General features: G+C 49.1%; 1 protein-coding gene across 28 annotated transcripts in view, besides 1 other annotated feature; it reads right to left on the bottom strand.

The window, feature by feature from the left end:
- Nucleotides 1-17,945, bottom strand: part of PKNOX2 (PBX/knotted 1 homeobox 2) — a 268,639-nt gene that overhangs the window by 62,871 nt on the left and 187,823 nt on the right. For 27 of the 28 annotated variants that reach the window (NR_168082.1, NR_168078.1, NR_168083.1 and 24 more), the window contains one exon: nt 2,534-2,673. The exons of the other annotated variant lie outside the window; for it this stretch is intronic. Coding sequence is in view for 18 of the 27 variants with exons in the window: in NM_001382333.1 (NP_001369262.1) it covers nt 2,534-2,673 (140 nt within the window). In the remaining 9 variants the exon portion in view is untranslated. The remainder of the gene's footprint in view (nt 1-2,533; nt 2,674-17,945) is intronic. 28 annotated transcript variants of the gene reach the window in all.
- Nucleotides 370-1,251: an enhancer, noted in NCBI's record as "H3K4me1 hESC enhancer chr11:125239164-125240045 (GRCh37/hg19 assembly coordinates)". NCBI's record gives its function as "activates a minimal SCP1, AML or CMV promoter by ChIP-STARR-seq in primed H9 embryonic stem cells {active_cell/tissue: H9 hESC(primed)}" and the evidence as "EXISTENCE:reporter gene assay evidence [ECO:0000049][PMID:30033119]".

The following is a 17,945-nucleotide window of genomic DNA, read 5'->3' as shown; positions in this document are numbered from 1 at the left end:
GGGCAAACACCAAGGGTTGCGGGTGGTTAGCCCGGTGGGAGAAGATAAAGCCCAGGAGGGAAGGGGAGTAGGAAGAAGTGTTAATTGCAGAAAGGTCTAGGCCATTCTTCAAGTGACATCCATGTGGTGGCTCCCATGGGGGCAGTGACCCACCTCTCCTGCAGGTTGGCCTGGGTAGGGTACGAGCCTGGGATTGTGAGAAGGGCTTTGGAACCCATGGTTCCCATTGGTGGGACAGAGTAAACCCTCTGTTTGGTGCTGGACGCAGGGCCAGGTGCCTCCACGGGCCGTCTCATTGATTCTTATCAAGTCTGCTGCTTAGGTTCCATCGGGACATGAAAGCTCAGAGAGGCTAGGACACAGTGGAGGTGGGACTCAAACCTAGGTTTCCAAAAACTATTCGTTACACCACTCATCTGGAGGGCTTTCTAGACCATGATCTATGCTCACTACAGGCCCCTGACCCAGGGGTCTGAGCAGCTGCGAGGTGAGTCTTCAGTATGCATAGGAATCCCCTGGGATCTTGTGAAAATGCAGATTGAGTCCTTAGGCCTGAGTGAGCCTTAAGAGCCTGCATTTCTAATCTGCTCCCAGGTGATACGATGCTGCCAGTCCACAGGCCATACTTTGAGTAGCAATGCTCCAAATAGAGTATGACAAGCATATGTCATCAGGCTGTCGGGCAGTTTTCAGAGGCCACGCTACTCCCTTCCCTCCTTATGCTCCCCACAAAAGCACAAGCCCACTGCACCTTGCCCAGGTTAATTACAGGTGTCTGTGCAGTCTCATCTCCCCATTCCCAGCTTCTCTGGCCACTGGCTGGTCCTGGAAGGTCCTCTCCTACCCCATTTCTCCACCTAGTGGGGTCTGTTACTCAACCTTTAGGACCAAACTCAAATATTGCCTCCTCTGTGAAGCCTTCCCTGTTGCTCTGACCACGTAGCTCTGGTTTCTTGTTTGTACGTCTATCGGTGCCTGGAGAGATGGAGGGAAGAGACTACACATTGACCCTCCTTCTGCTGGAGTCTAGCACAGCCCCCCACATAGGAATAGTAAGGATTCAATAAGAGACTGTAAAGAGGGAAGGGCAGAGGGAAGGAGGTCCATCCCACACTGGGGTGGCTAGCTTGACCTTTCTTAGAGTCTCCCTGAGAGGCACTGTGACCAGGTCCTGGAGTTCTTTGGGGCCCAAGCCAGAGCTCTCCACCAGCAGGCAGCTGGGCCTAGCCTGTGTGTTTCACAGGGCAGGGCACAGGTGCTGTGTTTTGTCCCTCTCCTGGGCCTGGGAGGCCCCTGGTGCCAGGATCCGTGATCAGAGGCCACTGCTCTGGACCCTCAACTGTTGGTATTAGAGGCATTCGGCTTATCTGAGGAACTAAAAATAATGCCGATGAGAATGAGAATAACAGCCCTAATTACCACCATTACCATAAAGGCACCGTCATTGGGGTGGTGGGGAAGGATTCAGAAAGAAATCAATCTTCCTATTCATTAGTCTTGGGTGAATCATTCCACATGTTACTGGCATTCGCACCTGCTGCAGTGTGTGCCCAGCCAGAGGCGAGCCACACTTGCTGATGCATGTGAACATATAAGCTCCCACAAGGGAATATGAGCAAGGGTCAAGCCTCAATACTGAGTGCAGACTTGGGCACCTCTTCTTAGTGGTTAATGATAACTAAAGTCCCTGTAGGAGCCTCATTCAGGCCTGTTCTCAGGTGACAGCATCTTCCTCCCCAACTATGTACAAGAATGGGAGTTCATCAAGGAGACAGGCATTTCCCTGAGCCCCATCCCACCCTCTGCAACATTCAAGACTCAGCCCTGGATGCGTGGGGCAGATGCAGAACAAGAAGAAACAAGCTGCCTGCCCTCAGCAAACTCCCCTTCTTGGGGAAAAGTGCCAGAACCTACAGTCACACACAATACCTATTGTTTAAAAACAGAGACTACCATGAATCCAAGTGTGGTCCAATAACCAGCTGCATCAGATTCACCTGGAATGCTTTAAAAAATGCCTATCCCTCTTCCTATAGCTTGATCTACTGATTTGTCCTCTTTGAGGATGAAGCCCAAAACCATGTGTTTTAACAAGCTCTCCCTGTGACTTTCATGCCTCCTGAAGTTTGTGGACTGCCAAGTTCTAGAGGGTGCGGTCAGAGGTCCAGTGCTCTGGTGGGCTTGATGGAGGGAAAGCAACAACAGGACACAGGGCGAGGAAAGGGTCCTGAGGCAGCTGCCTGTTTGGCTGAGCGGAGGGTTTCTGATACCCATTAGGGGTCATCTCCCTGGTTGAGATAGGAAGTGCTGTCTAGGCCTCCATATCCTTCCCTAGACATTTCCAGAAAGCTAGAGTCACTGTGGACAGCTGAGGGGTTTCTGGATTGAGTAGAGAGGGAAGGAGGCCAAGGGAGAATAGCTATTGGCCGTCATCTCTGCCGAGCCCACCCTTTGGCCTGCATTCTCATCCCTCACAGCTGAGCTGGGCCTGAAGCTGGTTGAGGGCTGTAGACACAGCTGAAGTGTCTCCTACCTGTATACAGCTCGCTTGTCAGCCTCCAGCTGGGCCTGGGGGTCGATGGGGGCACTGGGCACAGGTGTGCTGGCAGCAGCTGAGGGGGCAGAGATGTGGACAGCCTGGGCCTTGGAGGGTGGCTGGGCGGTTGCCGTCATCTGCAGAGAGAAGAAAGGGGAGGTGGTGGGTTAGCATGGCCAGGGTGCTGGTCTCCAGGCTGTAGTGTGAGGTCCGCCTTGGCCTGTGCTGTGCCCGGAGGAGAGCAAGAGGCCAAGAGAACTGTGAGCACACAATGAGCATCCATTCGTACGTGTGCTACAGTGGGAAGAAAAGCAGGCTTTCTTCAAATGAGCATGTTCTAGAAAACAATTTCAGGCCATCCAAAACCAGGAGATGCCCAGCACACTCTGAAAAGAGATGACTCTTAGTGCAAATATGGTAACCCTTGCCCAGAAGTAGAAAAAAACAATAGGATGAATCCTTTAAATTGTGCTTATGAGTCGTTTGGCCCATCATAGCGTTGATTTGATGACTTTGAAAAGCAGGAAAACAGGAGCTGAATCAGCTGTCGTTTGGACACAGGTTTATTTATTCCCTTTAATGGAAGCCACAGGCTATGGTCCCAGTGGTTTTGAAGGATGACTGAATGGCTCTCCAAATTTGGTTTACCTGGCCACTTCAAGATAAGCAGGCTTTAGTGGGCAATGAACAGATTCTTGTTCTTGGCCATAACAAATATTTAGGGCAGGGGATTTCATAATCTGTGACACGTTTTTGAAGGTGTCCCGAGGCCGACAATTTTGTACCAACCAGAGCAACTCCTTTTAATATTATCTATTAGATTTTCTATCTAAGGTTTTGTTTAAAGAAATGGTTCAATGGTTTACATTTTTTTTAAACCATCACTATGGAGTTTCATGCTTTTTTATTTCCTTCAGTCAAAGAAATCTCTAAAAGTGTGAATGATGATAAGCCTCAACTGTTCTCTTACATCACCCTGTCCATAGCACGATGGTAGCTCTCCCCACATGTGGTGTTGGGCTTCATGTACTTATCTGTCTTCTCCTCTGAGGCCTTGGTCACTCCTTCATCACCAGCTTCCAACTAGCACATACTTAGTAAAAAGGTTTGATGCTTAATAAAAATACTTGCGGAGAAAATGAGTGAGTGAATAAATGAATTAATATGCCTTGAAAGAATCAGATATTTTATAGTTGCAAAGTTCATCATATGAATCTAGGTCCCTGCTTTCTGGAAGAAAAAGTGTTATATGTCTGTGAATACAAGCATTGCTGGTACATATATCCCCAAGACATTTGCATGTCTTCATTTAGATCTTCTCTTCATTTAGATCTCCGCTCAGATGCTACCTCTTTGGAGTACCATACAGCCCCTCTGCCTTTTGCTTTATTTTTCTTCATAGCCCTTACCATGATCATATTCTATATTTATGTGCTTATTGATTTTCTCTTCACTCCCAGCTAAAACGTAAGCTCATGGAGTGATTGTAACAGTTGTATTCCTAGGGCCCAGAATAGCCTGGCACTAGTAGGTGTTCAATAAATATTTGTTGAATCAATGAATAGATGAATGATGGGTGGTGAATGAGGTTGAGACTATAAAAGAAATGTACCTGCTTTCCTAGATTGTATCGTTTATTAGGCAGAAATACCCTTGCCACTGTTGGCTGATCTGGGGGAGCCTTTCCAATCTCAGTGGGTAAGAGGCTAGACATAGCATCATGGTGCCTGGAAGCCAGAAGACAATTGCTTGAGTCCTACTGTTTTCCCCTATTAGCCTTTGACCTTGGGCAAATTCTTTAACTTTCCTAAGCTCCTATTTTCTCATCAGTAAGCAAATTGGTGACCTTTTGGAATACATGAGTATTAAGGAGGTGCTGTAAGAAAGAAAGTAGAAGCAAATGCTGTTCCAATTTTCAAAATAGACAAATAAACTGAATTCTGAAAAAAACTAAAACCCAGTAATCTTCACACTTATCTGGGCCAGATTCATTCCTTCATTCACTAATGCAACTGATTATTTCTTCAGATACTTCTTGAGTCCCTGCCATGTACCAGGCACCGTGCTGGGCACTGGGGTCACAAAGATGAGAGATTGCTATCAGAAAGCTCAGTTCGTGGATCTGACATGACCATTAAGCTTGCAGATCAGGAAAACATGGTGTAAGTGACCTCAGCAAGGTATTTTCCATGAGAGCCTGGCAGAAAATGTGGAGAGATGCAGCCTGGTGGACAATTGCATGGATTAGAAAACTACACCCAAGGGATGACAATTAAAGGATAAATGTCAGTTTGGGGCAGGTTTCCAAAAGAGTGTCTCATGCTTCCTCCTTATCCTCTTATTCAGCACTTTAATCAGTGATTTAGAGAACGTCTAAAAAAATGCTCAACAAATTTATGAATGCCGTGAAACAGGGATCCAAAAGATCTTTACAGATTTTGGCAAGGGGCTAAATCTGATAAGATTATTCCTCATCTAATAAGTTAAAATTTAACACTTCTAACATTTGGGCCAAGAAAAATCAATATTGAAGTGCAGGGAAGGAGAGACATGGCTTAGTAGCCGTGTTTTAGTTGACAGCTGGCTCAATATATCAAAAGTGTCTGTCAAAAAAAAAAATCCAACCTAAACTAATGCTAGCTGAGGATGCATTAACAGAGGCATTGCTCACAGCATGCAGAAACTTCTGGTCTTGCACCACTCTGATTAAACAAATACATGAAAGTACATTCAAAGCAGGGTCGGCCAGGATGGTAAAGGGGTTCGGTACTTCATTGTATGAGGAATATTTGAAGGAACGTGGGATATATAGGCAAGATTTGGGGGGTGGGTGAGAAGGGGAAACATGAGAGTACCCTTTGAATATCTGAAGGAGGAGATTTGATTATATCAGTTCTGTATGACTCGAAGGGCCAAACTACAAGCAATGCATTTGATCTATAACAAGGAGACAACCTAAATAATACCTTTCCAATACCCCAACTCTTTAAGGCTGGAATGGGCTGCCTCCCTTTCCAGGTGAATTTCCTGCCATTGCAGACGCCAAGCAGAGTCGGACTGACCAGCTGGGCCACCGTGGAGAAGATGGGAGCTTCAGCTGGGTGGCTGGATTACATGATATCTGAAGCCCCTCCAACTCTGACAGGCTCAGACACCATGAGGGTGTTTTAATAATCACCACCCACCACACAGCGCTGGTGTGAGGCTCGAATTTGACGATGTGTAGTATGTAAAAGTGCTTTGGAAACTCTAGAGCGCTTCACAGATGGAGGAGAGGTTGTTATTATTAAACACGAGATTTCCGGAATGTACTTCTGCCATAAAGCAAGGCATAGCTACATCTGCACAGCTCGTCTGAGGGTGACATATAGGGGGAGCAGTGTGCTCTGCTCTGCCCACTAGGAGTGAGTTTCCTCGTGTCCTTGAAGGAATCCACAAGCGGCTTCTGTTAGCTGAGCTCTTGGGATGAAGAGGGATGAAGGAGGATGAAGTCCCCCTCCTAGGCAGGACTTTGGGGAAAGGTGTGGGGGGAAGGCCCTGGAGGGAAGCTCAGAATAAAATGTAAATCAAAAATGGTCACTTGCCAGTGTTCCAAGAGGCCCCAGCTGAGAGGCTGTGACTGGCAGAAGTATGTAAAGAAGACAGCAGAGCTGGTCTGAGGAGGACGATGACTCAAATTTATATAGCTCATGGGGGCCAAGTCAGCAAACTCTGCATTTCCTGCAGGTTTGACGAATGAGTGTTTATCCCCAAATAGGTTTCTTTTTCTAGCCAGAGACATCCACTTCCCAGGAACTGGAGCTCAAAAGGAGAGGACCTGCAGCTGTCCACAGGGCTTGGGGGCCAGGAGGATGGGGATAGCTTGAAGTAAGTTTTTTTGGGGGAAGTTACTGGGCAGCACAGCCTAAAGAGTAGGCTCAGGTGTGGACCAGGGGCAGGGCGTGGCTATTAAGCAGTGGGCTGAAACTGCCTTGTTCTGGCCTGTGAAAGCCAATTGTTAAATGTTCAGAAATTTTGCAAATTGGCTGACATCACATTGAGAGCTTGAAATTGGCCATGGTGGGAGCATTTACACCATGGAAATTGGCAAATGCTGCAAATCAGGGCTTGCCCCTGCCCTCCCCACCCCCACTCCCAGAGAGCAAGTTGTTAAATATTTACTAGCACACCTCTAATTTCAGTTTTTCCCCAAGTAGCTTTCTTCCATTCTTTTTGGTCTGGCATGGGAAGAAACTCATCTTACCCACTCCAAGAGGCCACTTGGTGCATTCACAGCTGGTCTCAGAACTGGCCACTCCAGATTTGGAGCTTTTCCCCAAGGAGCCCTCAGAGCACTCTGGAGACCCTGCCTTGGCAGCCCGCTAGGGACAGGGACAGGTAGGCCATTAGGGTAGGCATGGAGGACTGTCCCTTTTCAACCAGGGGAAGCTAAGGCACAGAGGAGAGGCAAGGTTGAATGATGTCCTCAGAACTGCCTGGGAGATCAGAAAAGCCTCAGAGAATGGAAAGAGCAGAGGATCCGGCCCTGGGTTTGATGCTCCTCTGCCAATTATTAGCTACGTGTTTTGGGACAAGTTTCCTGATCTCTTTGGATTCCTAATCTGTAAAATGCAGGAGATAATACTCAATCTGCAGGTTGTGCAGATTAATCAAGAGAACCAGACAATGGCTACTGATGGGGCAGGAGGCAGCATTCCCTGGGGAGGCCCCTATGAGATGTGACATTGTGCCAGCACCTGCACCCGTGCTAATAAAATATTTCTGGGGTGGGTGAGTGGCTCACGCCTGTAATCCCAGTGCTTTGAGAGGCTGAAGCGGGTTCTGCGCTTCCCATGTCCTCTCTTGGCCTAGGGTTCTTTCTTGGGGCAAAGACCCTGGGGCCATCACCTCCATGCACGTCCCTCTCGTAGATGCTATAGCCACTGGACTTCTGTCTGCCATCTAGCCAGAACCAGTTCTGCCTTAAGCTCGCAGCTAAGGAAACCCTGCCCAGATTCTTGGTTTGAAGGTTCCTTCTTTTCCCATTCTAAAAAGGAGTGGGAAGAGTCAGGGCTTGTCAGATGTATATGCAGGTGTGTAAAATCTGGGTGGGGCTGAGAGATCCAGCCACGCTGGCAGTCTGGCCTTCTACTCATGAAAATGAGTAGGAGATGCTCCCTGGTGTGTTTTAAGGGGTGCTGGGAAGCATGTAACTTGCCCTCACTGATACCCAAAGCCCCCACAGATGCTTCTTTTCTGTTAAGCACCATCTTTTTCCAATTGTAGGGGAAGAGTGACATGTTTTGTTCTAATAAGCTAATAAAATATTTCTGGGCTGGGTGCAGTGGCTCATGCCGGTAATCTCAGTGCTCTGGGAGGCTGAAGTGGGAGGATTGCTTGAAGCCAGGAGTTCAAGACCAGCCTGGACAACAAAACAAGAACCCATCTCTGCAAAAAGTAAAATAAATTGGCTGGATGCGGTGGTGCCTGTAGTCTCAGCTACTCGAGAGGCTGAGGCAGGAGGATTGCTTGAGTCCAGAAAGTCGAGGCTGCTGTGAACTATGGTCGTACCACTGTGCTCCAGCCTGGGAGATAGAGCAAGACCCTGTCTCTAAAAAACAAAAAAAGAAAAAGAAAAAAACCATGTGGGCCTTCATGTTTCACAATAATCCTGTGCAGTAGGTTATCATCATCTCCATTTCACAGATGAGAAAACAGAAGCCCACAGAGGGCCTTCTGACTAATCGCACTATGTGAATTGGAGCATTTAATTACTTTTCTTTGAAGAGGAGAATGGGAAGATTTTCCCCTCTCTGTGAAAAAAGAGGCAGGAGGTGTAGGGGGGCTCCAATTAGAATGAAACTTCACCCCCCTCTGCATGTGTTCTAAGTCTCCATCTAGTCCACCCCGTCCTCACTGCTGGTCCCAGTTTGTCCCTCTCCCTCAACAAACCTCTCCCCTACGAGTTCAAATCATTCTCCCAACAATGATCGTGCCAGAAACAGTTCTCCCATGTGGAACCCATGTGGGAAGGCACAGCTGGTTTATTAATCGAAGGTGGCTCACTGCTGGGTCAAATTCCCTCCCAGGCTATGAGGAGCCTGGAGGCCGAGAGCCCACAGGAAACCTGCCTGCAGGGGCTTCAAGCCTTCTGGAGCCCGGAGGCCCAAGTTGCATTCAGCTGCTGCCTCCTGCCAACTTCCCTTCAGACTTCCTCCCTTGCTCATGGGAGGTGGGAGCAGATGGTTTAGAAGTGGGGCTGATACCAAGGTCTTTCCAGCACCCATAAAAGATGGGGTGGGATAGCATTAGGAGATATACGTAATGTAAATGATGAGTTAATGGGTGCAGCACACCAACATGGCACATGTATACATATGTAACAAACCTGCACATTGTGCACATGTACCCTAGAACTTAAAGTATAATAAGATAAATAAATAAAGTCAAAAAAATAAATAAAAAAAAGAAGATGGTTGGCATTGGGGAGAGCAGAAGCGTGGGTTTCAGATAGAACTAGTTTTGAATCCCACTCTTACCACTTACAGCCTTAAAGATGGAACTTTACCTTCTGGGGTTTCAGGTTTCTCATCTGAAAAATAGGCGAGGTGCTTCCTACCTCCCACCGCCATGATGGGGATGTCTGTCTCCTCCAGTGGATGGTGGCAGAGCATCCAGAACCAGGCCAGGCTCCTCTGCCCCAGGCCTGCGTGGCCCTCAGCATGCTGCTGTGACCTGTCTGCTCACTCGCCTCCCTCCTCACTAGACTGTAGGATCCTTGAGGGCAGGACCAGGGCTTTTCTGTTTACTGTCGTAGCCTCAGTGTCTGGTAGAGAGAGTATCTGAACTATCTGTTGAATCAGGAATGACTGGTATGGAGTGGGCAGGTCTGATTGAATGCTACCATTTTAGCTGCAGATTTACCTCCTTGACCCTGAATCCTCAGGTCACAAAAGAGAAGTCTACAGTTCCTGACCACATAACTGACTGGGGGGATTTGGGTGTCCAGCCCAGAGCTGGAAACAATGGGACAGAGCACGCTGTGCTGGGATGAATCTCTGCTTTGTATTTGGCTCTCTCCTGCCTGTGTGATTTGGGCAAGTTACTCAACCTTTTTCAACCAGGGTTCTCATCTATAAAATGGGAATAATTATACTCAAGGTACAGGGTGTTCAGAATTAAATGAGACAATTATATGCAAAGTAGCTGGCCCTCAGTAGCTATTCAGCATATGGCGGTTATTGTTAATAAAATCCACACAGCCTACAGCCCACACCCTGAGAGCTGGCTGCTGTTGTTTCTCTCATGTGGGCTGCCCTGGGGGTCCTACCAGTGTGGGTGCCACCCCTGCTGAAGGAACCCATTCTGCATAAATTCCCTGGGAGGTAGGCAAGTGTGAGTTCAAGTGCAGGAACAGGCGGCCCCTGGTGTCACAGAAGGTTACATTATGCGTTACCAGCTTGGAATTGAGTGGCATGCCCAAGGCAAGGACTCAGTTCCTCTGAGCCTCAGTTTCCCCATGAGGTAAAAATGGAGCTATTAATATCTCTTCCCAGGGCTACTGCGAGACCATATGTGAGGGTGCATTGCAAGCAGCAGATGCCCCGCAAACCTTGGTTTCTAAGCAATTCTAATGCTTCCTTTTGCTAGATTTCTCCTCTGAATCAAATCCAAATCCCACCCCCTGTTCAGATCCGGCCCCAGTGCCCCCACTCCTCTGCATACAGTCTTGCTTGTTATGACTATTAAACCCCCACACACCTCCCACAGGGCCTCTTTCTGAAAACGCTGAACACCCAAGCCTTCACCTTCTCAGCACAGACACTCCTTTTTTTCCTTTTTCTTTTTTTTTTTTTTGAGATGGAGTTTCGCTCTTGTTGCCCAGGCTGGAGTGCAATGGCACCATCTCGGCTCACCGCAACCTCTGCCTCCTGGATTCAGGCGATTCTCCTGCTTCAGCCTCCCGTATAGCTGGGATTACACCGGGCATGGTGGCTCACGCCTGTAATCCCAGCACTTTGGGAGGCCGAGGCGGGCAGATCACCTGAGGTCGGGAGTTCGAGACCAGCCTGACCAACATGGAGAACCTCCATCTCTACTAAAAATATAAAAAAAGCACAGACACTCCTAAGAGGACATCCCCTCTTCTGAGCCCTCCACCTGACATGGCAGAGTAGGTGCCAGCCAGCCCCAGGAGGGCCCCCTTAGGCTGCCAAAACCTTGTGTTCTGGCCCCCTGGGGCTGCCCAGGCCTAGCCCTCAAGGGGCCACTGAGGCTTCAGGCGGGCCCGGCAGGGCTGGTACTCCCTCCAGTTTGGGGCAAGCCAGGTATGGGATCAGTTTCCTGGCAACCAGGAGAGAAGCCAAGGACCCGGGAAGAGGTCAGGGCTTGAGGTCACTTGGTAAACATCAAGTCTGGCCTTAATAGGTAGGAGGCAACAGGGGACATGAACATTGTTGGGGGGCACAGAGTCCAGGGCGCTCCAGACCTGGGCCTGCTCAGGCGAGTTGGAGTATGGGGATATGTCCAGTTTAAAGACATGGGTGGCTCAAGCAGGCAGAGAGAGCGGTCAAGGTGCACAAAGAGAAGAAAGGCCCAGCAGAAAACAAAAAAGAAAGAGAAGAGTCTGTTTTGATGAGTCAAAGCAAGGGAAGGTGGGTCCCCATATGGTCCCTGGGGTGTTGCCCCTGGGGCAGAGGGACCCTTCGCTAACAGTCACAGAAAAAGCTTAGGGGAACTTTCAAAGCTACTGAAAGCTGCTCACGGATCCGCAGCCTTGTCACCTGCACAGCCCTCCTCCCCTTACCCTATCGCCTCACACCTACCCTTGGTTGCCTGAGCGCACCTGATGGTGTCCACCTTCCTGCCTTTCCGATGGTGTCCACCTTCCTGCCTTTCCGATGGTGTCTACCTTCCTGCCTTTGCTCCCACAGCTGCCTCAGCAGGGACTGTCCTCATCTCCCCTGCAACCTGCCTCCCACCCAGCTGCAGCTTCAACTCTTCCAAGAAGCCTTTCCTGCTTCTCCTCCCTCCCCAGGCCGCAGAAGACTGGACTCCTGCCTCATCTGAACGGACCCCAACACCGGCAACACCAGGCCCTTTGCCTGTCTCATGAGCGGGCTGGTCTCCCAGCTCCCATGCCTGCCCGCAGTGTACTCCCACATGTTAAATGACTGAAGGATGACCAGAAGGAGGCAATGACTGAGTGATGTGTTAAAGGCCTCAGGGATCCCAAATCCTGGGAGAGGCCAAAGAAGGCCCCTCAAAATATTCCCCAACCCAGTTAGCCCAGGGAGAGGAAGGGCCGGCATCAGAGCCGGACAGCCCAGTGTAGCTCAAAGAGGCTCTTGGAACAGCAGGCCTCGGTCACCTCTATTCTGATCCCAGGCCAAGTGGACAGAACAGACCATAGAAGAGTTGCTCAGTGGTGTACAATGGGGGTTTCAGTTAGTTAATTAATTTTAAAAGGGTTTGTAAGTGGTGGTTTACACAATGTGACTCATGGAACATTCACTGCCCCTAACTGCATTTCCTGGGCTGTCACTGACAGGAGGCCAAGAAGAGGAAAGCTGTGGACTCCACTTCCCAGCTTTGTGCATTTTCCCGGGAACTGATGGCCTCCTGCCCATCCCATCGCTTCCCTCTGGAAGATCCTTCCCTTTTGTAATAGTCCAAAACCAGTGATTTCCAATAGGTCCTTCAGAGGGCACACCAGAATCCCTGTGTGTGCACATCTATGTGTGTGCGTGTGTGTAAGGGGGTGTTCATAGCTGGTAAAACCTATTTGACATGCCTATTATGTTCCTAATAAAAAGTAATTAAGGTTAAATCCCATCTGGGCTGCTGGAGATGTGCAGGTGATCGAGTGAAGAATGAAGTTGGGGTGAGGGTGAAAAGGGGCTGAGGAACACCACTGTACTTTTTGTTCCCACACTCTCAACAGCCTCGTGAGACAGGGAGGGCAGAGTTATTCTCATTTTATGAATGCAGAAACTAAGGCCCCACATGGACTCTAAGCTCCAAGAGGACAGGAACTCTGTTGATTTTGCACCCCAGTACACAGCACAATGTCCGCATGGCCCACAGGACACACTCAATGTTTATCGAATGGATAAGTGGATGAAAGAAATAGCTCTGAAATTACTTGCCTAAATTTGTATAATTCATCAGCAGTGGAGCTGATAATTATACAAATTCTTATTACAAGTCCTGATTGCTGAATTTCTACGAGATTGAGTCATTCCATCCTCCTCTTCAGACCACAGACTTCAAGAACAGCAAGCATCCTGGGGCCCTAACTCACCCACCTGCCTCCTGCCAGGCCGCACAGACACCAAAGCTTTCTGAAGACCAACTAAGACCAACGGCGTGCGAAAGGCAGGCAGAGCATGTAAGGTCCTCCCCAGACCCGCTGCTGACTTGGATCACCTGTCCCCTGATTTATTTTAGGCTTTGTATCCCAGGGCCATTAATTATTTTTGTAGCTGTTTAGGGCATTCATTCGTTCTGCTTGGGGACAAGGGAGTAGACAATAAAATCTCTGTTTTTGGTAAATATCAGAATATAGTAAGTTCATCAAATAAAATACCTAGACCAGGCCAGTAGAGTGTTTCTTCCCAAGTTTAAAGCCATGCTGACAGCCCACCATCTCCTACATGGGCATAAAGGCCCCACGGTTGGACCTGGAGGTTGTTTTTGCCTTTTACACAATGAAGAGTCCAGGTCTTGAGTAAGTTGGAGTTCAGGGATATGTTCAGCTTAAAGACATGGGTGGCCCAAGCAGGCAGAGAGAGAGGTCACTGTGCACAAAGAGAAGAAAGGCCCAGCAGAAAAGAAAAAAGAAAGAGAAGAGTCTGTTTTGGTGAGTCGAAGCAAGGGAAGGTGGGCCCTCATATGGTCCCTGGGGTGTTGCCCCCAGGGGCAGAGGGAGCCATCAATCACCATCACAGAAAAGGCTTAGGGGAACTTTCAAAGCTGCTGAATTAACTCTATTGCTGCAAAGCAAATGTGTTTCACAGGCAGCTGAGCAGAGGGCCCTGCAAGGCAGGGGGCTCCAGCCCTTAAAGAGATGAGAGGAATGTAAAGCGAGTGTGAAAACATCTGAACCCACTTCTGCCTGTCACAGCTGTGTGGCCTGGATGGAGGCCATTCACAGCCAGGGGCCCCAGCCACCCCCTTTTGCCTCCAGTTAATTAAACCAGCATGGGGATCCTAATGACTGATCAAAGCCCATCCAGCTTCCCCAGGATATCTGCCTCCCCTGGCCCCACCTGGAGTGGGGATGGTGCTAGGACAGGGAGGGAAAGAAGGTGCCCAGAGAGACAGGTCTGGCTTCCTCAGTGTGGCTGGCCCAGCCTTAGCCTTCCTCTTGCAGGGTAAGTGAGACAATGTTGTCTTGACCCCAGATCTCTGAGTGCCATGTCCTGGAGTCCCAGACACCATTCTCCCCACTCTGAGGGATGCTGGAGGATCGGGGTGAGGGGAATGGGAGGGACACAGCTTTTGCAAAGGGGCCCCAAGCAAACACTTGACTTCCTTCCGAAGTGAGCCTCACAAACCGGACCTCAACTACGAGTTCTAACTGCCTGTCTTTTCTCTCTCTGTTCAAAAATGAGGCTGCATCCTTGGTGAACTTCCCAAACCCTTTCAATGCCACTCATCATCAAGTCATGCTACGTAAGCCCCTAGCTACCTACCCATCAGTTTGTTCCTAAACTATCCATTGAGTTTAGTTCCACATTGACAGGGGCTGTGCCTAGTAGGTCAGACTAGGATCTACCAGGATTTCTGCTTTCTAGTCCAATGCTCATGCAGCTGACATGCCAGGGACACGCAGACTGAAGCATACTAAACATTGAATACATACTCAAATAGACCAGATACAATATTTGTCTTGCTAATAAGCCAAGGGCAAAGATATTTGTGGAACAGTAGGTATGTGTCTGTGTTTGAGGAAAAGTTGTGGGGGGGGGGGTGCTGATAGTGAGAGTGTGTTTTGTGTGGGAAGGTGAGGGGAGTGAAGTGGTTGCCTTTGCTAGTGAACCCGGATGGCTCCCCGGAGTGGCTGATGGAGCTATAGAAGTGAGAACTTCGCTTGGCGGGTGATGTTGCATATGGGTGTTACAGGAAGGTCTCGAGTGACATTTCTGAGAGTACATGAATGAGAGGTATTTGCCTAGAAGGAGTGACGGGGTGGTTGTGTGTTCCCAAGAAAATTCTGGGAGGGAGGCTGGAGTGACACTTGCTGGGATTCTAAGCAAGGCAGGAGAGGACAGAAATAGTAGCAAATGGAAGGGTCAGTGGGGATTCTTGGGGCAGTGGGAGGAGGGGGCTGTGAAAGTCCAGCTGACAGCCAGGCCCACTATGGCAGAGATACAGAACAGAAGTGGGGTGATGTTGGAATCAACACAACGCACTGAACTGAGGCTCACACACCTAGTTCACATCCAGGTCTCTCTAGAGACAGTGTGGTCATTAGGCAATCATTGTAGAATTCCACTACCCCAGTGACTTACCCCTACCTCTTCAGGGCATAAAGTGAGGGGTCTGCATCAAGGACCCAGTTACAGCATGCTGAAATTGGGGTCCTGTAGTTAAGACAGTAGAGGGCGCTGCTACTCTGGCAGAATTTAGCAGGAAGCCACCAGAAAGAGGAAGTAGGTCACAGGGAGGGTTCCACTAGGTTGTTGCTTTTGCACTTTCTTTCTTTCTTTTTTTTTTTTTTTTCTTTTTTTTTTGAGATAGAGTCTCACTCTGTCACTCAGGCTGGAGTGCAGTGGCGCAATCTTGGCTCACTGCAAACTCCGCCTCCCGGGTTCAAGCCATTCCCTTGCCTCAGCCTCCCAAGTAGCTGGGACTACAGGCATGTGCCACCATGTCTGGCTACTTTTTGTACTTTTAGTAGAGACAGAGTTTCACCGTGTTGGCCAAGCTGGTCTTGAACTCCTGACCTCAGGCAATCTGCTCACCTCAGCCTCCCAAAGTGCTGGTATTACAGGCATGAGCCACCATGCCCAGCCCGCTTTTGCACTTTCTAAACATACAGTCATCCTTCAGTGCACAATCAACAGAGAGTGTGGCGGCCTTACAAACAATCACAAAGTTTCTCCGGGATGGACTGCAACAGAACTAAGGGGCTAGAAGCCGCTTAGCCATCGTATCACTTGGCTTGTGCCCAAATAGCACGAGGCCATAACAGTGAATGCTTCTCTACTAAAATGGGAAGAAAAAAAAGCCTCCCTCATTTTTAATAACTTTATTCCCCAAACTTCAAAAATGAAATTGCCAAGTTAAGAACTCGCCTTGAAAAAAAATTCTAATTTATTATAAAGAAGGTCCGGGGCTTGGGAATTTTTTAATGCAGATTCCTAATTTTCCAAAGTGAGATTCTCCTGTGCATTTGAATAGATTATGCTCGGTATTGCTAGCCCTTAGCACAACGGGAACATTATTAAAACGATCGCATGGGTCTCAGAGGAAGGGCTCTGCGTCTCGCTTCCTTTTTCATTTGGGGGACTTCATATCAGAGACTGCCCATTTGTTGCCTGTGGAAGAAACTGGGTTTCTGAAGAGGTGATGGAGAGGTGTGCTCAGCTGCCCAGGTTGTGAGGAAACAAGTCATACGTGGTCCACAAGTAATGAGATTAGACCTAAAGGAATGAGGAGGGAGTGGGCTTTGTTTCCTGAGAGCTCTGTTTTGGACAGGATTCCCTGGTGTGCCTGGCCCATGTTCCCATCAGGTCCTGCTTCCCTGAACATGTGGAGTCTCAGAGAGCGGCTGGTTCTTGGGGATATGAGCATTCTGAAGGGAAATGCAGCAGTCTCCCCCTAGGAAGCTGGGGTCCATATCTCGAAAAGATAAAGGGAAGAAGTCAGGGGTCCAATGCAAGTTTGCAGAAAGTGCCAGCAGCCAGGCATGCACGGAAGAGCTGTTCCTACAAGGGAGCCCCTCCTAGAAGCCCGAAAGAGTGGGCAGAAGGCCCTCAAATACTAGCATTCTTTGGAGAGAACAGCCTTTCCCCCTAGAGTCAGAAGCCTTTGTTCTGGGGGCATCCCCCAGCTCCCCCATCCCTCCCACTCCACCCCTGCCCTAGCTCCTTTCCCTTAGCCCCACATCCTGCTCGGTTTCCTTGGGAACCAGCTCAGCTTGGGGAAGGCCAATGGCAATTTGGGCATAGCCTAGTGCCTTCATCAAGGCCGTAAAGACCCTGACATCTTGACCTGGTCAGTTCACCATGGACACTGATGCTTCTCATCAGACATTTCACTCATGGATTGCCAGGGTTACAAATAGATGGCAGCTTCCCCAGGGCAAATTATTCCTTTGCTCTAAATATGAAGATTTTAAATGGTGACATTCTGGCGGATCCTCAGAGAGGAGAGCCTTCGGGCAGTGCCTGTGTCTGGCTTCTGTCTGAGACCTTAGATATGGAAGTGGAGACTCCCTTCTTCCTCACAAAGGCTAGAGCAGCTCAGTGGTGACTTCTGGGGGGCTGAGCACCTTAGGGCTGCAGCCCACCTCCATCCATCCCTTGATAGCTGGGATTTATTAATCCAGCTGTATGCTGATCACTAAATTAGGCTTCTGGATCAGCATTCAACACAGGCCCTTGCTGCAGCTCTCCGGCTAATCCCCGCCAAACCAAAACTTCTCCCAGCTCCCCAGGCAGTCAAAACAGGGAGGGGTGGGTGAGAGGGAAGGGGCCACCATCAGTCATGCCAACACAGTGTTCTCTGACCTCTCAGCCCTGCCCTGGTCTGTCCTTGAGTCTTGGGTATGGAGGTGTGGGCCTTGGCAGCTACCACCTGCTAAATACAGGAAGGGTCTCCATCTCTGTTCCCCATTCTTCTGGAGAGAGAATCCAGTCACAAAACAAGTGGAGCCCACGTTCCCACCACTTAATCGATATGTGGGCATCGATGTGTGCTGGCTGAGTGGAATGGGAATGGGTCTGCTGCTATCAAAGAAGGATGATCTTGCCCCTATTCTGGCCCCTAGCTTCTTCTCTCACTTCTTTCTTGGGAGGCAAAAGGTTCCCATCAGTTGAGGGCTCCTTCTGAACTTTGTCTCGGGAGCTGAAACTACAGAGGGAAGGGACTTGACATAGTGTTGGATGCCTGGAAGCTTTCAAATACAAGAGCCATGTAAAGGCCAAGTTCAACCCTGTGGCTTATTAATGGAAGCTACTGGCATGAGCAGAGGGCTCGCTGAGGATGGGGTTAGGCTGGGAGAGCTGGGGAAGTAATATGATTTGATATGTGGGAGCGGGGCCGTAGACATGTGCTCAGAGATTGGTGAAGGACCAGGGCTTTTGGACCTTCAAGGGCAGAGCAAAGGTGTTCCATATGCTGGGTACGCTAGAAAGAAGCCCCACAGCATCTGGTAATCTCCCAGAGGATGACAATGATGTATAAAGCAGCTACTACATGC

Source organism: Homo sapiens, chromosome 11 (genome assembly GCF_000001405.40).
Source record: "Homo sapiens chromosome 11, GRCh38.p14 Primary Assembly".
Classification (NCBI taxonomy): domain Eukaryota; kingdom Metazoa; phylum Chordata; class Mammalia; order Primates; family Hominidae; genus Homo; species Homo sapiens.
Note: the sequence above shows the minus strand (reverse complement) of the source record. Positions and strands in the feature narration are given on the sequence as shown.